General features: G+C 50.1%; 1 long non-coding RNA gene across 1 annotated transcript, besides 5 other annotated features; it reads left to right on the top strand.

The window, feature by feature from the left end:
* Positions 255 to 756: an enhancer, noted in NCBI's record as "NANOG hESC enhancer chr18:46510218-46510719 (GRCh37/hg19 assembly coordinates)". NCBI's record gives its function as "activates a minimal SCP1, AML or CMV promoter by ChIP-STARR-seq in primed H9 embryonic stem cells {active_cell/tissue: H9 hESC(primed)}" and the evidence as "EXISTENCE:reporter gene assay evidence [ECO:0000049][PMID:30033119]".
* Positions 8200 to 8319: a silencer, noted in NCBI's record as "silent region_9444". NCBI's record gives its function as "represses an Ori minimal core promoter by ATAC-STARR-seq in GM12878 lymphoblastoid cells {active_cell/tissue: GM12878}" and the evidence as "EXISTENCE:reporter gene assay evidence [ECO:0000049][PMID:35858748]".
* Positions 8350 to 8649: a silencer, noted in NCBI's record as "silent region_9443". NCBI's record gives its function as "represses an Ori minimal core promoter by ATAC-STARR-seq in GM12878 lymphoblastoid cells {active_cell/tissue: GM12878}" and the evidence as "EXISTENCE:reporter gene assay evidence [ECO:0000049][PMID:35858748]".
* Positions 8750 to 8869: a silencer, noted in NCBI's record as "silent region_9442". NCBI's record gives its function as "represses an Ori minimal core promoter by ATAC-STARR-seq in GM12878 lymphoblastoid cells {active_cell/tissue: GM12878}" and the evidence as "EXISTENCE:reporter gene assay evidence [ECO:0000049][PMID:35858748]".
* Positions 19471 to 22539, top strand: LOC105372108 (uncharacterized). Its single transcript, XR_935456.2, has 3 exons — positions 19471 to 20784; positions 21424 to 21588; positions 22284 to 22539. It is a non-coding gene; the product is annotated as an uncharacterized LOC105372108 (long non-coding RNA).
* Positions 21216 to 22009: an enhancer, noted in NCBI's record as "H3K27ac-H3K4me1 hESC enhancer chr18:46488965-46489758 (GRCh37/hg19 assembly coordinates)". NCBI's record gives its function as "activates a minimal SCP1, AML or CMV promoter by ChIP-STARR-seq in primed H9 embryonic stem cells {active_cell/tissue: H9 hESC(primed)}" and the evidence as "EXISTENCE:reporter gene assay evidence [ECO:0000049][PMID:30033119]".
* Positions 22540 to 23327: the final 788 nt, after the last annotated feature.

The following is a 23327-nucleotide window of genomic DNA, read 5'->3' as shown; positions in this document are numbered from 1 at the left end:
CATGGCTGGGCTGATCTTGAACTTCTGACCTCAGGTGATTCGCCCGCCTTGGCCTCCCAGAATGCTGGGATAACAGGTGTGAGCCACTGCACCTGGCCTATTTATTTTTTGAGACAGGGTTTTTCTCTGTTGCCCAGGCTGGAGTGAAGTGGCATGATCACAGCTCACTACAGCCTCGACCTCTCTCGGCTCAAGCAAACCTCCTGCCTCAGCCTTCCAAGTAGCTGGGACTACAGGCATGCACCACCCACCCAACTAATTTTTGAAAATTTTTTGTAGAGATGGGGTCTCACTGTGTTGCCCAGGCTGGTTCCAAACTCCTGGGTTTAAGTGATCCTCCCACCTCTGCCTCACAAAGTGCTGGGATTGTAGACGTGAGCCACTGTGACCAGCTTCATTTTCATTTAAATAGCTACATGTGGCTAGCAGTTACCGCTTCTGGAGAGCACAGTGACCCTGGAGGAGCTCCAATGGGTCCCCAGGCTGCTCACTGGCCTGTTGGTCTGGATGACCACAGGCATTCATTTATTGTACATGCAACTGTTATTAAGCACCTACTGTGTACCAAGCAGAAAAAGATTATCTTGTGAAATACTTCAGTGAGCTCTCAGTCCCTTCCTTCTCTGTTTTTCCTTCCTTTCATCAGCAAATCCTGGCTGCCTGCCAAGCGCTCAGTGCTGTATGACAATGGTGCATGAACTGCAGTGAGCCTCAGGATCACTTCAGGGACCTGTTTAAAAAATGCAGAACTGGCAGTGTGCGGTGGCTCACACCTGTAATCCTAGCACTTTCGGAGGCTGAGGCGGGCAGATCATGAGGTTAGGAGATCGAGACCATCTTGGCCAACATGGTGAAACCCTGGCTGTACTAAAAACACAAAAACTAGCTGGGCATGATGGCATGCGCCTGTAATCCCAGCTACTCGGGAGGCTGAGGCAGGAGAATTGCTTGAACCAGGGAAGTGGAGGTTGCAGTGAGCCGAGATTGCGCCACTGTACTCCAGCCTGGCGACAGAGCGAGACTCTGTCTCAAAAAAAAAAAAAAAAGCAGAACCCCCTTTCCCACCCCCACCCATTAGATCTACTGAGCCAGAATCTCCAGGGCAGGCCCAGCATCAGAGCCTCCCACAGGAGAATCTATTCCCACAGGGAATACTAAACCAATGGCAGATGCTTTTCTACCAACAGCTTATACTTTAGAAGGTGTGATCAAAAAAAAAAAAAAAAAAGGCCAGTAAATGGTGAGCTCTTTTTACAAACAGCTATTCCCCAAGAACTGTCTGAAAATGCCCTAGAGAGAACTAATACCTTAAGCCTTTTTATGGTGACATCTTAAGGGAATGTCTTTGGCAGATGTTTTTCCTGCCATGGAGTCAAATAGCAGAGTGGTTAGGAACCAGGCCTGCAGGGGCAGATCTGGCCTCAGGTCCTGCCTGTGTGACCTTGACAGGGCTGATCCCTATCTGTAAAACAGAGATAATCGTCTCTGGCTTCCATGTCACAACAGTTCATTATGAGAGTGGATCACGGGGAGATCAGGACAAGTTTCAGAAAGCTGAGAACCTTAGGGTCTCAGGTACCTCAAGGCCAGGAGGGACCCAGCCCTTCAAGAGTCCCTTGAACAAAGGGCACTTAGACCCTTAAGGCTTTAGTTTGGGATGTTTTCAGCTTGGAAAATATTGTTCTAATTTTATTCCAGTCCAACTGGAATACATTTAGAACATGCATAGATCTGGTTCCAATTCAAACTGGTTCATTGGGTACTTCTTGGGTTAAAGAAAATTGACAAATAAGGAATCGGTAAAAAAAAAAATCATCATCATCATATCTGAGTTCAGGGTTGAACTTTTCAGTTGGAAAGTTGTGATTCTTTGGTTCAGTTCAAGTACCTGTTTACAAATTAACTGTACAAGCATTTATTTAGCACCTAGTTTTGTTCCAAGAATAAACCAGGTATGAGACAGTTGCAAGGAATTTCTGCTCACCTGTGGAAAGAGACAACTAAAGAATCATAATCCCCTTAACGACCAAACAAGCAAAATCCTAGGGACGCCCACTAGGGAGCAAAAGGTTCTGGGGGAGGGTGGCCAGCAGACACACAGAGGAGGGGTGATGTGTGAGCTGGGTGCCGAACAGTGAGTGAGAGGGATTTCCTGGGCAGTTAGCGGTGGGGAGGAAGGGAAGCAGGAAGGTGAGATAAGCTGTACTGTGCACGCAGTCACAGAAGAAGGGGAAGGATAGTCTAGACTGTGGGTGGCCCATGGGCTTGGAGAGGTGCTTGCGGGAGATCATGAAGACACCAAGCTCTGCCCCGGACTTGCTACTCTGTCCCCACCCCAAAAAGAGGACCACTTTTCCTGGCTGGAAAGAACCATATTTGTATTTCCTTGTGTATTTATTTGTTTCAGTAGTTTTATTGAGATATAATTCATATATCACACAATCATTCATTCAAAGTGTATAACTGAATGATTTTTAGGACAGTCAGATACATGCCACTATCACCACAGTCAATTTTAGAACATTTTCATCACTGCAAGAAATCCCATATCTGCTAGCTATCTTCCTCCCACCCAACCCCCATCACCCTCACCTCCTCCCCAGCCTGAAGCAACCACGAATCTACTTTCTGTCTGTATAGATTTTTCTATTCCGCACATTACAAATAAACGGAGTTGGCTGGGCATGGTGCTCATGCCTGTAATCCCAGCACTTTGGGAGGCTGAGGAGGGCGGATCACCTGAAGTCAGGAGTTTGAGACCAGCCTGGCCAATATGGTGAAACCCTGTCTCTACTAAAAATACAAAAATTAGCCAGGCACAGCGGCAGGTGCCTGTAATCCCAGCTACTCAGGAGGCTGAGGCAGGAGAATCGCTTGAACCTGGGTGGCGGAGATTGCAGTGAGCCGAGATCGCACCACTGCACTCCAGCTTGGACAACAGAGTGAGACTCCATCTCAAACAAAAACAAAAACAAATGAATTGAGTCTTACAATATGTTGCTTTCAACATCTGGCTTCTTTCACATAGCATGAAGTCTTCATCCATGTTAAGGCCCATCTATGTGGGAACACGTATCGGTCTGTCACCCCTTTTTATGACCAAATAATATTTTATGGTATGGATAGACCACATTTTATTTATCCACTCATCTGTGGACGGACGTTTGGGTTGTTTCCACCTCTCGGCTATCATGAACAATGCTGTGTGAACATTCACGGATGCGTTCCTGTGTAAGTCATTACTGTCATAACTCCCATGTCACAGATGAGGGTGCATGTTTTCATTCCACTGAGGAGTGGAACCGTTGGGTCACAGAGGAAATCTATATTCAACTCTGCAAGGAACGGCCAGGCTCTTTTGTATTTACATATTTACTTTGAAAAGAAGGAAATGCTGGGTGCAGTGGCTCACATCTGTAATCCCAGCACTTTGGGAGGCCGAGGCAGGTGGATCACGAGGTCAGGAGATCAAGACCATCCTGGCTAACACGGTGAAACCCCGTCTCTACTAAAAATACAAAAAATTAGCCGGGTGTGGTGGTGGGTGCCTGTAGTTCCAGCTACTCAGGAGGCTGAGGCAGGAGAATTGCTTGAACCCAGGAGGAGGAGGTTGCAGTGAGCCGAGATCACACCACTGCACTCCAGCCTGGGCGACAGAGGGAGACCGTCTCTCAAAAAAAAAAAAAAAAAAAAAAAAAAGAATAAAGAAAAAAAAGAAAAGAAGGAAATGAATGAGAAGACAGGAGTAATAATGGAAATCTGCTTGAAGCCAAGGGGCAGCCTATGTTCAGGGAAAGGAGAGGTTAGGGCCGCAATGAAATCACCATGGGTGGCATTACATCTTCCCAGAGACAGTGCCAGCTGGGAGGAGATGGGCACAAGGTCAGCACCCTTGGCCACTCACCTATGGACCGAGGGCACCTCCTTGTCACTGCCCCACCCCTCCACAAACCAAGGCCCAGGCTGGCTGTGAGTCTCCATGGAGCACAGCAAACATGTCTCTGCCCCAGCCTGCCATCTCTCCCTTCAGAGACAGTTAAAGAGTTCAAATTCCAGAGGGAAGAAACATATCCAAGGTCATGTTCATCATGGCGTATCTGGTGAGCCCCCATGACCTACAGGACTGCTCAGCATGTCCATATATTCTGTACACATAGTGCTCACTGTGGGCCAAACACTATTCTAAACCCTTTCCAAATCAAAATGCTTTAAATACTCAAAATAACTCTATGAGAGACTTCCTGTTAGGACTCCCATGTTACAGACAAGACACTGCGCCAGAAAGGGAAGCTAGCTTCCCCAAGGTTGCATGGCTCATAGTGACGACGCTGAGACTGAAGGTAGTCTGTCTGGCTTCAGCACCCACCTTATGCCACCTCAACTATTCTCCTGCAAGGGCAGTGTTGAAATTCTCATCCCACAGACAAGGACATTAAGGCCGAGGCTGATACACTTTCCCAAGGTTGCGACTAAAGCCCAGTCTCTATTCCACACCACGGCCTCCCTTTGTGGTGAGAGGGGGCAGAGATCAGCGTGCAGTGAGTCACAGCAGTTAGAAGGCGTGTGCCTTTGTCTACTGCCACCTGTTTCAGGAAGCTCTCCCTGACTGCTCCCTAGTCAGGGGGCTCCCACAGCTGCCAGGGATGTTCTGCCACAGTCCTGCTCCCTGGGCATGGCCATTGGTGTGTAGATGGCAGATGCCTGCTGAGGATGAGTGTGACTTTGTCCCCTCTGGCTCCCCAGCACTGAGCCAGGGCCTGGCACCAGCAGGTGCCCCATAAGCATGTGGGGGATGAAGGGAATGGTCCAGGTACTAAGAGACTGAGGGGCTTGGAGAGAGAAGAGCCAGTTGTGCCTGGAGCCAGGTACTCACTAGTGGGGTACCCAGGGCCAGGGAGGAATGGTGGAGTGGGGCATGGGGCAGGCCCTTCCAGTAGGGAGGGCTGGGGGTCCTCAGGGGCCTGATGTCTCACCGTCCAGAGAGGACTGGAGTTGGGTGGGGAGTGCTCTGTGGTCATGGGTGCCAGAGTCTCAGCCAGTGCACAGGGCACCTTCATGCCAGTTAGGAGGCACCCTTCCTCCCTCCAGGTGCCCAGCCCTGCCCCAGGACCCTGGGAGCTGCCTCAGACCCTCAGCTGGGCACCCTTGTGTAGGACACAACCTGGGTGCTACATGTGAGACTCTCTGGGTATAGAGTGTGACTGTGTTGTGTGGGGGTGCGGGATGTGGTATATACGCACACGTGCAGGGAGCGGGGTATGTGTGGTTGGAGAGGGTTGTGTTGTGTGTTGTGTGGGGGTGGGGGATGTGGTATATACGCACACACGCAGGGAGCGAGGTATGTGTGGTTGGAGAGGGTTGCGTTGTGTGTACATGGTGTGAGAATGGAGAATTAGTGTGGTATGCGTGTGGTGTATGTGTGTGTGCTGTGTGTGGGTGTGTGTGATGTGGGGTGTGTGAATTTGTGCTGCACTTTGCAAGCCTCCCAGGCTGGGTGGCCTCTGTGCAGGGAGAGCTGGGAGGCCTAGCTGTGAGGGTGCCACGTCCTAGAGCCAGAAACTCAGGTGTCTCAGTGGCCAAGCCTTCGCCTGCCCCTGGGAGTGGGGCCGACACGGGGTCTGCAATGGCAGAGAACGGGCTGAAGGTCCTCAGTGGGCAGGCACAGCTGGCCTCCCCTCAGGAAGGCCCTTCCTTCCAGAACTCTGGACTATCCCTTAGTTAGGGAGGGAACGGTCTGGACAGACTGAGCCGAGGAAAATATTCCTGGTCAAGGGATGCCCTCAGCTTGAGGTGCCTGGTCGGAGGCTCAGAAGAGATCTGGGGGAGATGCTGGGTCCACACAAGGATGATGTTCTGGAAACCGGAACTGCCCAACGGTGGAGGAGGCCGCTTCCTAAGGGAGCAAAGCCCCACCCCCTATGCCCTTGATGAGTTCCAGCAATGCTGCGGCCCCCTCAGCCATGGTGTTGGAGGAATCTCCCCTTCATGGTGCAGGACATGGGTCAGAACACGACCCCACAGACCCCTCACCCTCCTGGGTTCCACAGAAGCAATGGGGATGCCCGGGACACCTCCTTCCTTCAATTGCACCTGCTGCCCCTCCCCGGAAGTTCCTCCATTGCTTTTCCCCCGTGGCCCCTCCAAATACTCCAGGATACCAGGATGTGGAAGGCACTTTAAAGCCACCCTCTCATTTTACAGATGAGGACACTGCGGCCCTTACAGGGAAGGGACTCGCCCAAGGTCACAGAGGTACAGCTAACACCACGGGCACGCCTCGAACCAGGCACCCACCTAAGCGCCCTCATCTCCTCACGCCAGGCCCGAGGTGGGACCTTCTCCATCTTACACAGGGGAGGACTTGGCCTGGGGTTGAGAGAAGCCAATATGGCCCAGGTCACAGCACTAGAAAGAGGGCAGGATTCTCACAGGGTCCCCTCTGCCTCCAAGGCCCTGCTGCTGACCCTGACGCTCACACTCGGTGTCCCCCACACAGCGATGAATCTGTCGTGTCCACTGAGAGAGGAAGACAGATCCTCTCAGTACCATCTGCCAGGGACAGGGTTAGGGAGGCTGGGCAGCTCACTCAGCCTAAGTTTGTTTCCCCAGTAGTCAAACGGGGATAATAATAGTAACATTTGGGGCTTGTAAGATTTCCATAAAACATGTGACGCCTTCTCTTTGGAGACCTCAACAAGCAACGTTTCTCCTCTCCATCCCCTTCCATGACCAAAGTGCTACCCTCACCAAGCCTCCTAGCCTCCTGGCTTCCCACACCCTTAGGGCTTCGGCCAGCTTTCTTGGGGTACCACCTACATACAGTATGATGCACCCATTTTGCATTCAGTGTTGGATGAGTTGGGACAACTGTATACTTCCATCCACATAACCGCTCCCGGAAATGGGGCACCCAGGGCCAGGGAGGAATGGGGGGTGAGGGGCCATGGGGGAAAGGCCTTCCAGTGGGGAAGGTTACTGACTCCTCAGTAACCTGAAGTCTCAGGGTCCAGAGAGGCCGGTAGGTGGGTGGGGAGTGCTCTGCGGTCGCAGGTGCCAGAGACTGAATCAAGATATGGGACAGTTCCATCACCCCCAGAATTCCCTTGTCCTCATCCCAGTCACTGCCCCCACCCCCACCGCAAGACAACCAATACTTTTGGTGGACTAGGGACTACATTTGTCTCTTCTAGGGTTTTCCATAAATGGGGGCCACACCATATGTATCCTTTTGTGTTTGGCTTCTTCACTCAGCATAATAATGTATGTGGGGTTTACTCAGCTTCGCCCGTCAGTAGTCTGATCCCTTTTATGCCTGCAGAACAGAACCAGGAAGAGGTGGCCTCTCCGCCGCTGTGCCTCCTCAGAACCTGCTGTGGCTTCTGAGCAGCGGTGGCTTCAGTGCTGGGCACACTGGGCCTGGCCCACAGGAAGGGCTCAAGTTCGTTGCGAGCAAATTGACTGAACCCTTGATATTCGGGAAAACACAAATTGCCTAAACTAGGCGGGGAGTCATTTCATTGCTTTTCTTTTCTTTTCTTTTCTTTTTTTTTTTTGAGACGGAGTCTCGCTTTGTCGCCCAGGCTGGAGTGCAATGGCGCCATCTCGGCTCACTACAACCTCCTTCTCCCGGGTTCTACTGATTCTCGTGCCTCAGCCTCTCAAGTAGCTGGGATTACAGGCATGCGCCACATGCACGGCCAATTTCTTTCCCCCCCCCCCTTTTTTTTTTGTATTTTTAATAGAGACAGGGTTTCACCATGTTTGCCAGGCTGGTCTTGAACTCCTAACCTCAGGTGATCCCCCAGCCTGGGCCTCCCAAAGTGCTGCGATTACAGGCGTGAGCCACCTAACCGGCCCATTTCATTGTTTTTCAAGCAGTCCCACCAGCGTGGAGAGGAAGGGGTAAAATTTAAATACGATGAAGAGGAAAGGACGGCTTAAGATAAAGAGCTTGGGCTGACGAGGGAATAGTCCCAGGGTTCAATTATCCAGCAGAGCGCGGCCTCCCCACGCCCGCCCACCGGGGATAATTAAAAGCCGGACGCCTCGGTCCCTTCCCCAGGGAGGCGGCGGCGCTCCGCGTGTGAAACGGCGCTCAGAAATGAACGGCGACACAGTGGCTTCATTGTTCGGCGGCGGGGGAAACTGAGGCCGGAGGGCGGCCGCCGGGTGACTGGAGGCTGGGTCACCACGTGAGTCAGAGGCGCAGACGGGCAAGATTGCTGTCATTAAGGTTTACAGGTCTGCAGCCGCCGCCGCGGCTGTGCGGCCCGAGCCGCGCCCGGCCCGGGTCTCGCTCGGCCACCCCGCCTCGGCGCCTCGAGCGCAACTGCGGGTGGCTCGGCCACCGCGGGGGGCTGGAGAGGTGACCCCGACGGTCTCCGCCCGCCCTGCGCTCCTCTGCCGCCGCCGCCGCCGCCCCGCTCCCGCGGGCCCGCCCTCTGACAGCGCCCGCTGAGGGCCAAGCCTGGCGGCTGGAACCTGAGCCCCGGGGTGGCTGCCACCCCCGCCCGGCCTCTACCTGCGCCACCCGCGCGGCGCCCCGGGAGGCGGCGCGAGCTCTGGGAGCGCGGCGCCGGGAAGACGGCATACGGCCCGGCCCTCGCCGCCGCCCGGCGCCTCCGCTGCGCGCGCGCCCGCCGCCCCGCCCCCCACTCCTGGGCGCGCGCACCTCGCTTCTCCCGAGGCCGCGGGGTCCCGGTTGCGCGCCCGGCCCGCCCGCCCCTTCCCCCTGCCTCCCCGGCCTCGCGTCGCCACCCGGCTGAGTCACGGGCCGCGCACACTGCACGTCTGACTGCACGGGCCCCTCGGGCCTGCACCTCCGCGGCCCGGAAGGGACGGAAGCCCCGCGTCCCCACCCCCACCCCGGGAGGGTCCCTGCGGCAGTTACGGGGGAGCAGCGATAGCTGCCCTGGAGGTCGCATTCCCACCCGGCCCCCGAGTTCTCCGGGAGAACTCCCCCGCAGCCTCGGCGGCATCGCCTCCTCCAATCTCCCCAGGAATCGTGTTTCCCCCAACCCTGCCTCCGTGCGCGCCGGGGTGGCGGCGGGATCCCGGTGCCGCCACCCCTCGGCCCCTCCGCCGCCGTGCGGGACCGCGATGGGGGAGGGGACAGGCCCGGTTTCGGTGAGGGGGCTGGGGTCGGCCACGCCCTCTTCCCTGGCCCCAGGGTGGGGGCCGCGAGGATGGCGGGGTCACCGGGCTGAACTCGCGCCTGTCTGACCTGCGGGGGTGTAGGCGGTGTGGACTGTGGACTGGAAGACGTCCTTAAATTTTTAAAAATAGTCTTGCCGTATGGAGAAGAACACTGGAACCTTTAAGTCCGCATCCCCTCGCCCGATTCGGCTCGTCTTAGTCCAGAGTGTAACTCCAAACATACTTATTAAGAAACTGTTGCTTTATTTTGACTCGTTTACATAAAATTTCCACTTTGGGGGGGATGGCGGTGGGCTTGTGGATTCCCTAAAATAACTTTTAATGGAGCGAAGCCTTCCATTATGGGAAGCGCCTAGACGCGGAGAGGCGTCTGGGGGCCTGGGTTGCCGTCACAGCCCTGCCACCAGCTGGCTGAGCGACCGGGGCACGTCGCTGCCCCCTCTGCCCGTGTTAGGAGAGTGGCCGCGGCGGGGCGACTGCACGAGCTGCCCCTAGGATTGAAAGACAGAGGCTGTCTCTCCTTAACTTGCTTTGATCCTGCAGAGAAGCAAAATGGAGTGAGATTAAAAATAAAGAAGATGCAAGCAGTTTGCTTTTCTGAATGGTGTGCCTTCCGCCCCGCTCCAGTTGTATTTATCATGCAGACAAGGTCAAGGTAACCTTCACGGTCTGGCCAGTTCCATTAAGTACAGAGTGCCCTTTCACTAGGAGGAGACCTCCATTGAGAACTTTACTTCCCACATCACTCGGGAACCTTCAGGGCTTTGAAGGCTCCTACTCCAAAGGGTCAGGAGGGGAGAGGCCCGGAGGGAATGCGAAGAGAGACTTTTCACAAAGGGAGAGAAGAATGAAGGTGAACAGGTGATGTCGACTTGATGTGTGACATTTAGGGATTCATAAACGGTTTATGGTCCTGTCCCAGGAGGCCCTGCCCTCCCCACCCCCATGGCTCCGAGGGGCTGAGTAATGTGGACACCCCGAGGTAGCGAGGTAGCGCAGCTAGGAGACTTTACTGCCTGGTCCTGCGCTCTGCTAACCTGCCTGCTTCCTTCCTCCCTCCCCTCTGCTCTGCCAGGGTGGGTAGGGGGGTGAGTGGAACAGAGCCCACAGGGATGCTGTTTCACAAAGCTAGTGTCAGGGTCCCCTCCCACCGCCCCCCAGCAGCACACACGTGCATTAGCATGTCTGTGATGGGTGAGAGGCAGCTGCAGGGAATCGCAAGGTTAATTTAAAATGATGGAGTGGTGGGAAGAATGAAAGGCCACGATTAGAGCTCAACTTTGAAAGAAGGCAGGGGAACAATTACTTTAAAAGGTTTTAATTGGTCCTGTTCTGAAGAACTCACTCCTCCTTTGCTAAAACCCTAGGCCAGCTCAGACCTGCATTTCTGGATTGCCCAAGTGCCTCCCTGTTTTTCCCCTTTGAACAGTAATTCTCAGAGTGAATGCCTCCACTGCCCTCTCTCCGTAGCCTTCTCGGTTTTGGTATATGGGTGTGTGTGTGTGTGTGTGTGTGTGTGTGTGTGTTTGTGTGTGTGTGTAGCTAGCTGGCTACTTATCTATCTTTATATAGCAGATTTGCAGGCTGGCAGGTCAAAGGACTTGCAGGAGGAGAAGAGGGCCTCTCTAAATTATTCTCTCAACTCCTTAGCCTGACTCACTTGGGGCGGGTCTACATTGCAATCTAAGTAAAGTGAGGGAGGAAAGTGGCTTCTAGCAAACTGAAAACCTTTTGAGAGAAAGGGCGATGGGCCTGAAGGTGAGGTCCTAGCTATGCCAGCCATGGAAACAAACACCCTGTAAAACACTGAACTCCCTTTCAAGTTACTTGCAATTGACTGGCTTGCACCAGATAATAAGGCTGGGTTCTTTCCCGCAAGAGAACTACCTACATCTTAATGGAAAAAGGGGTCAAAAGTGGCCAGTCTGCTCTGTTCAAAATGTTCAAAAATGGCGGATCCTAGGACTGGGGCTGGAAATGCTGAAGATGAGTCCGGAACACCTTGTGGTTCTGGGAAGTAAGAAAGTGCTCAAGATGAAAGGGATGTGGGTATGTCAGAAGGACACAGGGACCAACCTGAAAGAGGGCCCAGCCTCAAACCTGGAACAACTGGAACAACAAAATCAATAATGTAGTATTAGATTCAAATATAAAATATAAAATAGGGGCCGGGTGCGGTGGTTCACGCCTGTAATCCCAGCACTTCGGGAGGCTGAGGCAGGCGGATCACTTGAGGTCAGGAGTTTTGAGACCAGCCTGGCCAACACGGTGAAACCCCATTTCTACTAAAAATACAAAAATTAGCTGGGCGTGGTGGCGGGCACCTGTAACCCCAGCTACTCGGGAGGCTGAGGCAGGAGAATCACTTGAAAGCAGAGGTTGCAGTGAGCCAAGATTGCACCACTGCACTCCGGCCTGGGCAACAAGAGCGAAACTCTGTCTCAATAAATAAATAAATAAATAAATAAATAAATAAAATACTTGTGAATGAACCCATGCTAATACAAAGGCATGGTTGGATAAGTGCATGGAGAAGAAGAGACAATCTCGCATGCAGATAATTTCAAATAATTCATGTAGACAAAACACTACGTATCTGTGTATGTAGGTAAACTCCCCTGAAGGAAGTGGAGCCTAATTCCCTCTCCCGTTGAGGGTGCACTGCCCTTAGTGATTTGCTTCCAAAGGCTACACACAGTATGGAAGGAGGTTGTGGGAGAGAAGAACTTTATAGTGGGGAAACCTGCAAACACTACCTGACCAGTGCTGAAGGTCAGCATCACCAGTGCTAAGTCATGTTGACAGCATGCACCGCAATATGATGTGGACTTCTTTTCCCTAACCCATAATTCCAGTCTAACGATGAGAAAAACATCAGACAAATCCTGTTGAAGGACATTCTACAAAATACTTGACCTGTGTGGAATCCTGGATGGGTTCTGGAAGAGAAAAAGGACGTTAGGGAAAAATGAATTGGAGTAAAGTATGGAATTTCGTTAATAGTAATATACCAACGCTAGTTTCAGGGTTGTGACGAATATTGACAGAATAATTTAAGATGGAAATTGAATATGGGGTAATACTGGAACTCTCTTTGCAACCTTCCTGTAAACCTAAAAATATTCTAAAAGAAAAGGTTAAAAAAAATAAAAAGACCCAATTTAGCTGGTCTAGATTGGGCCTTAGAATCACAGGATTCACAGGATTTAGGCATTCTAAGAAGGGGAAGGGTTAGCAATGGCGCCCAGGGGACCCTTAGAAAGAAACTGCCGAGACCGGTTGGCGAGTTGATCAGGCAGAGTAAAATAATTTGGTTTTTAAATCACATCCTAGCCCATGTATTGTGATTTTAAAGTAGCTTGCAGTTGTCCAAACCAAAAAGAACTCCATCCTGAATTCCTCTAGGTGTAAACTGAAATTTAAAAAAAAGTGCATTTTAAAAAATATGATCTTTGGCTGGGTGGGGTGGTTCACGCCTGTAATCCCAGCACTTTGGGAGGCCGAGGCGGGTGGATCATGAGGTCAGGAGTTCAAGACCAGTTTGGCCAAGATGGCGAAACTCTGTCACTACTAAAAATACAAAAAAATTGAGCAGGGCATAGTGGCAGATGCCTGTAATACCAGCTACTTGGAGGGTGAGGCAGAGAATTGCTTGAACCCGGGAGGCACAGTTTGCAGTGAGCCGAGATAGTGCCACTGCACTCCAGCCTGGGTGACAGAGCGAGACGCCGTTTCAAAAAAAAAAAAAAATGTGATCTTGTTCATATACAGTTCAAAGCAGGCAAAAGTAACCTCAGGTGTGAGGAGCCAGACTAGTAGTTACTCTTGGGGAGTGAGTGGGAGGGTGAAGGGAAGGAGAGTCTAGGTTGGTGATGTTCTGCCTTTTGAGCTGGGAGCTGGCTAGCTAGGTGTTTTCAGTTTGAAAAATTCAGCAAGGTGTATGCTTAAGATCCATATGCATTTTTCTATATGTATTAATAAGTTGTATCAATAAAAAGTTTAGAAATTATATAAAATAGTCCGGGCGAGGTGGATCACGCCTGTAATCCCAGCACTTTGGGAGGCCAAGGTGGGCGGATCGCCTGAGGTAAGGAGTTAGAGACCAGCCTGGCCAACATGGTGAAACCCTGTCTCTACTAAAAATACAAAATTAGCCGGGCATGGTGGCGTGCGCCTGTAGTCCCAGCTACCCAGAAGGCTGAGGCAGGAGAATTGCTGGAACCCAGGAGGTGAAGGTTGCAGTGAGCCGAGATCGCCCACTGCACTCCAGCCTGGGTGACAGAACAAGACTCTGTCTCAAAAAAAAAAAAGAAGGTAAAGAAAAGAAATTATATAAAATAGGTTCATTTCACCAGGCGCGGGCGCTGACGCCTGTAATCCCAGCACTTTGGGAGGCCAAGGCGGGTGGATCATTAGGTCAGGAGTTCAAGATCAGCCTGGCCAAGATGGTAAAACCCCGTCTCTACTAAAAATACAAAAAAAATTTGCCGGGCGTGGTGGTAGACACCTGTAATCCCAGATACTTGGGGTGCTGAGGCAGATAATTGCTTGAACCCAGGAGGCGGAGGTTGCAGTGAGCCGAGATCGCACCACTGCACTCCAGCCTAAGCGACAGAATGAGACTCTGTCTCAAAAATAAAAAATAAAAATAAAAATAAAAATTAATTAATTAATTAAGTTGATTTCTAGCATTAAAACTTTAGAGCTGGGAGAGACCAACACTCCTCTCTTCCCTCCCCCAACGCTCCCCCAGGCAAATAAATTTAGAGAGTTCAAACAGTTTACCTGGGGGCATGAGGCCATCAGCCTGGGGTCCTTGCTCCCTGTCTAAAACAAGGGCTGTCCCACTGGGCCTCTCTAGGGAGCAGTAAAACCCCTTTCTTTTTCTTTTTTCTTTTTTTTTTTTTTTTGAGACAGAGTCTCACTCTGACGCCCAGGCTGGAGTGCAGTGGCGTGATCTCGGCTCACTGCAAGCTCTGCCTCTCGGGTTCACGCCATTCTCCTGCCTCAGCTTCCCCAGCAGCTGGGACTACAGGCGCACACCGCCACACCCGGCTAATTTTTTGTATTTTTAGTAGAGATGGAGTTTCACCGTGTTAGCCAGGATGGTCTCAATCTCCTGACCTCAGGTGATCCGCCCGCCCCTACCTCCCAAAGTGCTGGGATTACAGGCGTGAGCCACCGCACCTGGCCCTGAAAGTTTTTACATTGTGAAAGAACACCTATTGTGATAGTATACATAAACATTTTTTCAATATTTCATTTTTGTAACTAAGGAAGAAAATGGCAACTCTTCGTTTGCCATTGTTGAGAGTTGACTAGGTTGCCAGCAACTTCTCCAGAGGTCTGGGGATGGGTGGGGTTGAGTCCAGCTGAGGGAGAAGGAATGAGGGTCACAGCCAAATTCCCCACACTCAGGAAACCCCATTGAGGGTTTTGGAGGAGTTTCTGTCCCGAAGAATTTTACCATAAAACCCACAAACCAGTGCTTTGAGAACTGGGTTCAACTCTAAGGGTATTTTTTTTATTTCAATTTTTTAAAAGTTTTTTTTTTAGAGCATTTTAAATTCACATGCATTTGTAAGAAATACTATGGAAATATCCTGTGTAACCTTCACCTAGATTCCCCCAAAGATGTTAATCTTGCACTAAGATTGTCTTGTCTTTTGTGTGAGCTGAGGGAAGATCACCTAACCAGAATCTCTTCTTGTAGAGTTAAGAAAACTCTTGTTAGAGTTGTGGTGGCTCATGCCTTTAATACCAACACTTTGGGAGGCCAAGGCAGGTGGATTGCTTGAGCCTAGGAGTTGGAGACCACCCTGAACAGCGTAGCAAGACCCCTGTCTCTACAAAAAACCACAACAATTAGCTGGGCATGGTGATGTGCGCCTGTAATCCCACGTACAGGCTGAGGTGGTTGGGTCACTTGAGCCTGGGAAGTCGAGGCTGCAGTAAGCCGTGATAGTGCCACTGCACTCTAGACTGTCTGACAGAGTGAGACCCGTCTCAAAAATTAGATAAAATAAAATATAAATAAAATGAAGGCCTGCATTGTCCAAGTGACTTTCTCAAGATCACACCTGGGAATGACAGGGTCTGGGCCTCTCTCTAGGTCCCTGTGGCTCCATCTATATGAGATTCCATTTTCTGTTCCCCAGGATCCCTGAGGTCAGGTCAAGTTGGCAAGTAGACATAGACATATTATACCCCCCGACAACCCTTTTTTCCAGTGGTCCAGCAACAAAGGTCCATTTTCCACTCATGCTCTGTGTCCACCCTGGGTTGCCTGGAGGGCTCTGCTCTGGTCATCTCCACTGAGGGACATCCCATCTCTAGGTGGGCACGATTGCCAGTGGCAGGCTAGAAGAGCAGGGCAATAGTGTGTGGCTCTGCCACTCACATTTCACTGGCTAAACCAAGACGCATTGCTACCCTCACTCCAAGGGGGGCCGGGCCGGGGATATGCAGTTCTACCTTTCACCTGGGAATGGAAACGGAAATATCTGTTAAGCAGCACTAATGAACATTCCGATATCCTACATCTATCAGGAGAGATGGGATGCTTTGAGTCAGTCACTGGCAAGCTTCTTTATTTGCATGATAAGAGGGCTTCTTTCTGATTTCGGCTTTTCTGTTGTGCTGCCTTTTTTTTTGGCAGGCTCCCAGAGTGAATGGGCATTGGTCAGTGGGGCTTGCGGCCCTATCTCCCCAGGGAGGGAGAAGATCTGGGGAGGCATGCCCCCATCCCCAAGCCAATGAGCTCCGGAAGCTCCTCCTGGAAAAGCTAATTATTGAGGTAGGAAAGAAGGAAGGAAGGGACTGTCATTAAAAACACAAGGGAGAGAATGGTTCTTGTATATTGTGATGCTGATTAGACTCCTTCCTCCCTCCGTCCCTTCTTTCCCCCTCCTTCCTTCCTTCCTTCCTTTTTTCCTCCCTCCCTCCCTCCCTCTTCCCTTCCCTTCCTTCGTTCCTTCCTTCCTCATTTCCTCCCTCCCTCCTTCCCTTCCCTCTCCCTTCCCTTCCCTTCCCTTCCTCATTCATAGCTAGAACATTCCAGACCCAAACACTGCAGTCTGGGTGGCAATTTTTAACAGAAATGTAGACCAATTGAGGCTCCCAAAGGAGGGTGACCATGAGCTGGACGTCCTGTCCTGGGATGATCACCTGACAGAAGAGAGAATGTTCAGTTGATAGGAGAGAGGGTGAAGGAGGATGCAGGAAGGTGTTCAAGGAGGGCTGGCAGGTGGAATTAGATTACATTTGTTATGCAGCTGCTGAAGGTAAGAGTAGGATCAATAGGTAGACATTAGGACAGGCACAGTGGCTCATGCCTGTAATCCCAGCACTTTGGGAACAGGAGACAGGAGGATGACTTGAGGCCAGTTCAAAACTAGCTTGAGCAACATAGGGAGGCACCGTCCCTGCAAAAAATTTTTAGAAAATTAGCCAGGTGTGGTGGTGCACACTTGTACTCCTAGCTACTTGGGAGGCTGAGGTGTGTAGGATTGCTTGAGCCCTGGAGGAAGAGGCTGCAGTGTCATCACTGCACTCCAGCTTGGGCAACAGAGCCAGACCCTGTCTCAAAGAAAAAAAAAAATAGCTGGAAGTTATAAGCGGTAAATTTCAACTCAGATTGGAGTCAGCCTTTTAACTAGAAAGTTCAGCAAGGAAGAATGGGTTTCCTTGAAAGCAGGGAACTCACAGTTCCTGAAAGTCTTCAGACAGGTTGAATGACCTTTCTTATCGATTATTTCTAATGTTATTCCCAACTCTGAGTCCACAATTCCCAAGAAAAGAGACTCTACAGAATCTCTTATTTCAGGATCTAAAATTTCATCTTTAAATGAGGTCATCTACCTTCTAGCCTAAGAGTTGTTTTTTTCCATGTACAGCTAAATTTTATTAATAATAATATTGATTTTTTTTTGAGACAGAGTTTTGCTCTTGTCACCCAGGCTGGAGTGCAATGGCACAATCTTGGCTTACTGCAACCTCCGCCTCCTGGGTTCAAGTGATTCTCCTGCCTCAGCCTCCCGAGTAGCTGAGATTACAGGCGTCCACCACCACGCCCAGCTAATTTTTTTTTTTTTTTTAAGACGGAGTCTTGCTCTGTCGCCCAGGCTGGAGTGCAGTGGTGCAATCTCGGCTCACTGCAAGCCCTGCCTTCCGGGTTCATGCCATTCTCCTGCCTCAGCCTCCCGAGTAGCTGGGATTACAGGTGCCCGCCACCAAGCCTGGCTAATTTTTTATGTATTTCTTTTTAGTAGAGACAGGGTTTCACTGTGTTAGCCAGGATGGTCTCAATCTCCTGACCTTGTGATCCGCCCACCTTGGCCTCCCAAAGTGCTGGGGTGACAGGCGTGAGCCACCACACCTGGCCTAATTTTTGTATTTTTAGTAGAGACGGGGTTTCACCATGTTGGCCAGGCTGGTTTTGAACTCCTAACTTCAGGTGATCCACCTGCCTCGGCCTCCCAAATGGCTGGGATTACAGGTGCAAGCCACAGCGCCCAGCTGATGGTTGTTATTTTTACAGCTAACACTTATAGAACACTACTATGTGTCAGGTACTTTTCTGAGAACTTTTATGTATTTTAATACAATTATTAATTTAATTCTCAGAACAACCCTACAACGAAAGTGCTATTATTATCCCCCCATTTTACAGATGTGAATATTGAGTCATAATGAGTGTAAGGGGCAGAGCCAATGTTTGAATTGGGGTAGCCTAGTTCTAGAGTTTAGAGTTTGTGCTTCTAACCACTGCCTTTCTTGATGCCTCTTTTGGTGGTACCCAGTGAGGTTTAGTGATGTGTCCAAGGTCACAAGGTTAGTTGAGTGATGACACTTGGTGTGGATGGAACCTCATCTGCTGGCTACCCAATGTGGTCAGTATCAAAGACTTTTATCACCTGTGACCCAAAGTGCTGGTATTACAGTTGTGAGCCACCTAATCTTCTGTTCTTGTCCTTTGAGCAGATATCTAGATGGATTACTGGGTCAGAGAATTGGAACGTTTTTAAAAATTGTGGTAAAATGCATATAATTTACCATTTTATGCTTGAACCTGGGAGGCAAATGTTGCAGTCAGCCAATATCGCGCTATTGCACTCCAGCCTGGGTGACAGAGCCAGACTCTGCCTCGAAAAAAAAAAGAAAGAATTTACCATTTTAGCCATCTTAAAGCATATAGTTCAGTGGTATTAGGTATATTCACATTGCTGTGCAAACATCACTACTATCCATCTCTAGAACTTTTTCATCTTCCATAATTGAAACTCCATATCCACTAAACAATAATTCCCTGTCCTCTCTGCCCGGCCCCTGGTAACCTTGATTCTACTTTTTTTTTTTTGAGACGGAGTCTCGCCCTGTTGCCCAGGCTGGAGTGCAGTGGTGCGATCTCGGCTCACCGCAAGCTCCGCCTCCCGGGTTCACGCCATTCTCCTGCCTCAGCCTCCCGAGTAGCTAGGACTACAGGCGCCCGCCACCACGCCCGGCTAATTTTTTTGTATTTTTAGTAGAGACGGGGTTTTGCCATGTTGGCCAGGATGGTCTTGATCTCCTGACCTCGTGATCCGCCCGCCTTGGCCTCCCAAAGTGCTGGGATTACAGGCATGAGCTACCGTGCCCGGCTGATTCTACTTTCTATACTCTGAATTTGACTACCTCATATAAGTAGAATTATGCAGTATTTGTCCTTTTGTGACTGGCTTATTTCACTTAGTATGTCTTCAAGGTTTATCCGTACTGAAGCATGTGTCAGAATTTCTTTCTTTTTTAAGGTTGAATAATATTCCATCATATATATGTGTATATGTGTGTGTGTGTGTGTGTGTGTGTGTGTGTGTGTGTGTGTGTAGTGGACTATTATAGATGGAAACTATATATATGTATAATTTACCACATTTTGTGTATCCACAGGAACATTTTTAAGGCTCTTGATTCAAATCGTCTGCTGCTGTCCAGAAAGATGACACCAACTTACACATCCGATAAGAATGGATGAAATTAAAATTCTGGGCCGGACGCGGTGGCTCACGCCTGTAATCCCAGCACTTTGGGAGGCCAAGGCGGGCGGATCACGAGGTCAGGAGATCGAGACCATCCTGGCTAATGCGGTGAAACCCCGTCTCTACTAAAAATACAAAAAATTAGATGGGCATGGTGGCGGGCGCCTGTAGTCCCAGCTACTTGGGAGGCTGAGGCAGGAGAATGGCATGAACCCGGGAGGCGGAGCTTGCAGTGAGCCGAGATTGTGCCACTGCACTCCAGCCTGGGTGACAGAGCGAGACTTGGTCTCAAAAAAAAAAAAAAAGAAAAGAAAAGAAAAGAAATTAAAATTCTGAAGTTTGCATACCTAACTGTTCACTTACGGTATCTCACAGTCTAATTAATTCATAGCCACATGCATAGAGTTTATTGCATTTGCAACTATGCAGCATCAAATTGTTGCAAAGGGACCTCTGGAAAGGACTGTCCTTCCTCCCAATGTGTATGTGTGTATGTACATGTAATACATGTACATATAATGAAGATTACATACATGTATAATTGTATTATATACATATATAATTGTATACGTATATAATACATTTATATAATCTTCAATTATATGTATATGTATTATATATACATACATACACATTGGGAAGGATATATATATAATTGAAGATACAGAATTGAAGATGAGTATATTTAATATTTATCAAAGGGTAAAGGCGCTCATCCGCAGTTTGGATCAGAGCCTCAAAATCTAAATTCATGCCACGAATAGCGTTTTTCAGATGTTGACTTCCTAGGATCCTATTCTTTTAAACCTGATTCAATTTTTGTGCCTATCAAGACAGACACCAAAGATTTTATTTAGGAGGAAATATGTGGTATTCTTTTTAAACTTTTCCAGAGACATCACTTATGTGATCTTACTTGGTTTCTACAACATTCCCAGCCCCAGGAGGCAGGCAGAGTGATATTGCCAATCACATTTTTGTAGACACAGGCTCAGAGAAGTGACATTACCTGCTAGATGTCACACAGCCCATCTGGGACCCCAGGGCTCAAGCCCCTGCCCTCTGGCCCTGAGTCCTGCCTCTGTCTGTGGACTCCCAGCTCTTGCTGTTGCTAGAGTGTGCTGCTCCTTTACTTGGCATGTCCACATTCCTGGGTTGTCCAGGAACGCACATTCTTGGAGAGGAAGGGGAATAGATATTTTAGCCACATACAACACTCTGAGCTTGCCAGGCACCTAATAGGGACACTCAATAAATATTAATTAAAGAATGCAGCCACATTGGCTTATGTGCTGGCCAGATCCTTTAAAGTGTCAAGAATATTCCTTGAGAGACTGAGTGTTAGGCTGGAAGGCTGTGTGGAGGCGGAGAGGACAGAAAAGTCCTGGAGTAATGGAGTGCATTCTCTTGGAAGATGAAAATATCCACCCGCCCCAGGGGGCCCCTATCTGTCACTGTCACCAGGAGAGAAGGAGGAAGGGAACATATGTCTGTTGAGTGCCTCTGGGACCTGTATTTTTCTTGCTGGGGTGGGATTTATTCCGCTTCTCCCGTACTCCTGCATCTCCAAGGCCAGTGGAGGACACCAGGGGACAGCTGGCTGAGATCAAGGGTGAGTGCGATTGGTGGGGTGTGGAGTGGGGTGGGCGGGAGATGGAATGGGTGTGCCCACCCTCTCCTAGCGTCATGAGGGATTTACTGCTCATTGAGTAGGTGTTCCTTAGTGTCTCTGGCTTGACAGCAGAAGTCTACTTGGATAGGCAGTTCTGGGCACGCACAGCCAACTGTCGGGGCCTCTCCCCTAGTCTGAGTGTTCATGCTCACAGAGCTGGTGTCCCCTGGAATCCAGGGACTCGGAAGAGGGGAAAACTAAGCTGGAAGTGGAGAGTGAGGCAGAGGCCTGGGTAGGGAACCCTTGGGGAGCTCCCCCCAGCCTGAGGGCTGCTACCCAGTAGACCAATGTGCCAGGAGGAGGAAGGATGTGGGGGCAAATGGGGATCTCCCATTCCACCCAGAGCCTGTGACTACCCTCTCTTTGCACTGGGAGGTATTGCATGCAGAAAGCATAAGCAAGGCAAGTGAGGCTCCTCTGGGAAAGCCAGAACCTAGACATTGATCAGGCTCCTGGGGCTTTTTCAAATGAGCTCATCCCTGCTTTCCTAGGCCTCTTTTGGCATTGAATGGTATTTCCCTTTGGTTCTTTCAAAAGCAAGATGTGTTTGTGTAATTTTAAACAAGTGATCAATTTCAGATTAACGTCAAGGAATTTCTTCATCGTCTCCATCATCAAATTCTACTTAACATGCTCTGCCCATTCCAAGAAAAAAAGAGGAATGAATGTGAACTCTTTTTGTACATACAGCCATTTACTCAAAAAATGCAGCCGGCAGAGATTCCACAGCTGGGAAGCTGACTGGTAAGCACCCTGTGTAAGTGAACGCGCTCAGTGGGATGGAAGGAAGAGTACTGAGGGGACGCGGGAGGGAGGGAGAGGGCTCCAGGTCACTCAGGGTTTTGTATGGCCAGGAAGGGAATTTGTCTTTGATCCAAGGGCGTGCAGAAGCCCCGCTGGGTGGTTGTGCACTCAAATCAGCACTGAGCCCGACCGCCTGGCAGGGGAGAGGGACTGGGTGGGTCTGAGGACTCAAATCAGCACTGAGCCCGACCACCTGGCAGGGGAGAGGGACTGGGTGGGTCTGAGGAAGACAGCAGAGGCTAAGGTGTGGACCAGTCCCGGACAGATGCTGGGTGGTTGTGGTGGGTGAGACTGGAGAAAAGCAGATAAGTGGAGAGGCATTTTGGAGATAAAATGGATAGGCTTTGGGGCTGGTAGGATAAGGGGTAAGGGAGAGGTTTGTTGTCCTTGGTTTCTGGTTGTGATCACTGGATGGTGAGGAGTGAGCTTTCTGAGCGTGGAGCTCTGGAGGAAAAGCCTGTTTGGGAGTGTTAGAGGAGTTTGAACCAGAGCAACTCCATCTTGAATAGGGGCTGGGTAAAATGAGGCTGAGACCTACTGGCTGCATTCCCAGAGGGTTAAGGCATTCTAAGTCACAGGATGAGATAGGAGGTCGGCACAAGATACAGGTCAAAAATACCTTGCTGATAAAACAGGTTGCAGTAGAGAAGCTGGCCAAAATCCACCAAGATGGCGACAAGAGTGACCTCTGGTCATCCTCACTGTTACACTCCCACCAGCGCCATGACAGTTTGCAGATTCCAGGTAATGTCAGGAAATTACCCTATATGGTCTAAAAAAAGGGGACACATGAATAATCCACGCCTTGTTTAGCATGTCATTAAGAAATAACCATAAAAATGGGCAACCAGCAGCCCTTGGGGCTGCTCTGTCTATGGAGTAGCTGTTCTTTTATTCCTTTACTTACTTTTTTTTTTTTTTTTTTTTGAGATGGAGTCTTGCTCTGTCACCCAGGCTGGAGTGCAGTGGCGCGATCTCAGCTCACTGCAACCTCTGCCACCCAGGTTCAAGCGATTCTCCTGCCTCAGCCTCCCGAGTAGCTGGGACTGCAGGCGTGTGCCACCATGCCCGCCTAGTTTTTCATTTTCTTTTTAGTAGAGACAGGGTGTCACCGTGTTAGCTAGGATGGTCTCCATCTCCTGACCTGGTGATCCGCCCGCCTCCGCCTCCCAAAGTGCTGGGATAACAGACGTGAGTCATCGTGCCCTGCCATTTCTTTACTTTCTTAATAAACTTGCTTTCACTTTGCACTGTGGACTTGCCCTGAATTCTTTCTTATGCGAGATCCAAAGAACTCTCTCTTGTGGTCTGGCTCGGGACCACTTTCTTGTAACAGGAGGAAGATGGCCTATCTGGGACCTAATGAGCTCAGGGTGCCTTTGAGATATTGACCAGGCAAGTGGGACTGGAGAGCAAAGCAGAGACCTAATTTTTTTTTTTTTTTTTTGAGATGGAGTCTCACTCTGTCACCCAGGCTGGAGTGCAGTGGCGCGATCTCGGCTCACTGCAACCTCCGCCTCCCAGGTTCAAGCGATTCTCCTGCCTCAGCCTCCCAAGTAGCTGGGACTACAGGCACGTGCTACCACACCCAGCTAATTTGTTGTATTTTTAGTAGAGATGGCGTTTCACCATGTTGGCCAGGATGGTCTCGATCTCCTGACCCTGTGATGCTCCTGCCT

Source organism: Homo sapiens, chromosome 18 (assembly GCF_000001405.40).
Source record: "Homo sapiens chromosome 18, GRCh38.p14 Primary Assembly".
In the NCBI taxonomy this organism is placed as follows: Eukaryota; Metazoa; Chordata; class Mammalia; order Primates; family Hominidae; genus Homo; species Homo sapiens.
Note: the sequence above shows the minus strand (reverse complement) of the source record. Positions and strands in the feature narration are given on the sequence as shown.